At 52.2% G+C, this 1,923-nt stretch overlaps 1 annotated feature.

Annotated features, from left to right (window-relative positions):
* Positions 219-428: an enhancer, noted in NCBI's record as "active region_5663". NCBI's record gives its function as "activates an Ori minimal core promoter by ATAC-STARR-seq in GM12878 lymphoblastoid cells {active_cell/tissue: GM12878}" and the evidence as "EXISTENCE:reporter gene assay evidence [ECO:0000049][PMID:35858748]".

Raw genomic sequence — 1,923 nt, 5'->3', positions numbered from 1 at the left:
GAACTCATCTGGAACTAATAATTTTGAGGCCACCGAAAGTAAAAGGGCCCTGCTTTGGGGCTGGCCAGCGGCAGAGGCCAGCTCGGGCCAATGCTGCCACCTGCCGAGGGCGCCGGGAACAGGGTGCGCCGCCGCGGCCTTCCTGTTTTGCTCTGGCCCCGCTCACCGGCTCCCACGCAGACAGGTTCGCCAGCCAGCCAGACCAGGGCTATTTTAAAAGGCTAGCGCCTCTTCCCAGCCCTTGGTGTAAAGATAGCTAGTCTGGCTGTCCCGTGTCTTCGCTGAAAAAAAGACAACTTCCCAATTATAGAGCCGGGGCTGGCTACAAAGGCAGTTGCAGTTGGAGTCCGATTAAACACGTGCCGGGTGGATTACACAGATCATGTGTCAGTGGCTCGCCTAGGAGGAAGGCTCGTTTAAGTTCAGGATTTTTATTTTGCGGGGGATGATGGGGACGTACAACTCTGGGTTATGTCGGCGCATTGCTGAACTGCGAGTCACATGCCAGATCCAGAAATGATGAAAACATCTGTTTTTGCTTTAGACCAGCGAGGCTCTGGCGGTGGGGAGGGGCGCGAGAGGGACGGGAATGGCTTTGCTCACCAGCACCATCTGCTGAGCCTGCTGTGGAAACGCGTGCGTCCCCAGCACAATGCAGGTTGCCACTCGCCCCGGGAAGGGGGAGATCAACAGGTGGGGGTCTCTGCCCGGGCGATCACTCTCCATGGAGGACAGCCCCGATTGTGCCCTGGGGACTGTGCAATCCCGTATTGTCTCGGAGTGTTCACAACAAAGAGCTTTGTCCCTGAGGACTGCCCGAGGGCAGAGGAGGAGGAGAGAGAAGCAGCAAATGAATTCCCAGGTTGGGAAGGAAGGAGGTAAAGGGGGAGGGGAGTAGCTCCTTAGTGGTTTGCAGACAGTAAAAATTTGCTGTTCTTTCTGGCTGAAATCTACCAGAACAAAGGAACCACGTCTCTATGAAAACTCCCAGCTGCACTTCCCCCCACCGTCCCTCTTGCCTGCGATGGTAGCTTTTGCTCGGCATGTCTGAGAATGTTCCAGTATTCACAGAGACCTTTCTGGTCTCTATGACCAAAGTATTCACAGAGACCTTTCTGGTCAGGCAGGGCTTGACCAGCCCTTCAACGTGCAATCCTCCCAGCTTCAAGAACCCAGCAATGGGATGGTTCTGAATCGGAGCCATACTGACAGCCAAGCCAACGGCATTCTTTCGATGTACAGCAAATATTTACTGCCTGCCTGCTAGGTGCCCGGAACTCACTCAGCATAACTATTTGTCATACAGCTTAAAAAACAATACAAATATGTCAGAGAAAAATGTATGTTTAGTGTCAAGTGCGTGTTTGAGACAATGACAGCTCTGAGTTGAGAAGCAAGGCGAGGATTGCAGACCTCGAATCTACCTTTCCTCAGTATTTGGGGGCAGTTCTGAGAAGAAGCTGGATTCCTCCAGCTTGTGTTTTGGGTTGTGTAGTCAAATCCCCTGAGTAACTGATTTTAATCAACCTGCTTCAGCTCTGACCTCCAGCCCTCTGGCGTTAAAGATAAATCCTCTACAGTTCCCATCCAAACGGCATCCATTACTCACAATCAGAATTGGGTGGGGACCTAGATTCCACTCCCAGGAATCTCCTCTGGGCCAGGTACAAAATTCTGAGCTACAACCAGATGAACAGTACTTCCCAACAACACACAGAGAGGTTAATCCAAGGGAGAAAAACCTGGGTCAAATGAAAAGATCGAGGCTTGCAGACCTCATTAAGCACAGTGCCTCCCTTTACACGCAGCTACCAAACACACCCTCAGCTCTCTGCTGCCCACAGCTGAGGTTCCCAGAAGAGCAAATGCTGCTGATCCGGACCGAAGTTAGTCTCTTCCGTAGGCTCATTTTTGCCCACTTAC

Source organism: Homo sapiens, chromosome 11 (assembly GCF_000001405.40).
Source record: "Homo sapiens chromosome 11, GRCh38.p14 Primary Assembly".
NCBI classification, from domain to species: Eukaryota; Metazoa; Chordata; class Mammalia; order Primates; family Hominidae; genus Homo; species Homo sapiens.
This window is presented reverse-complemented; position numbering and strand designations above follow the sequence as displayed.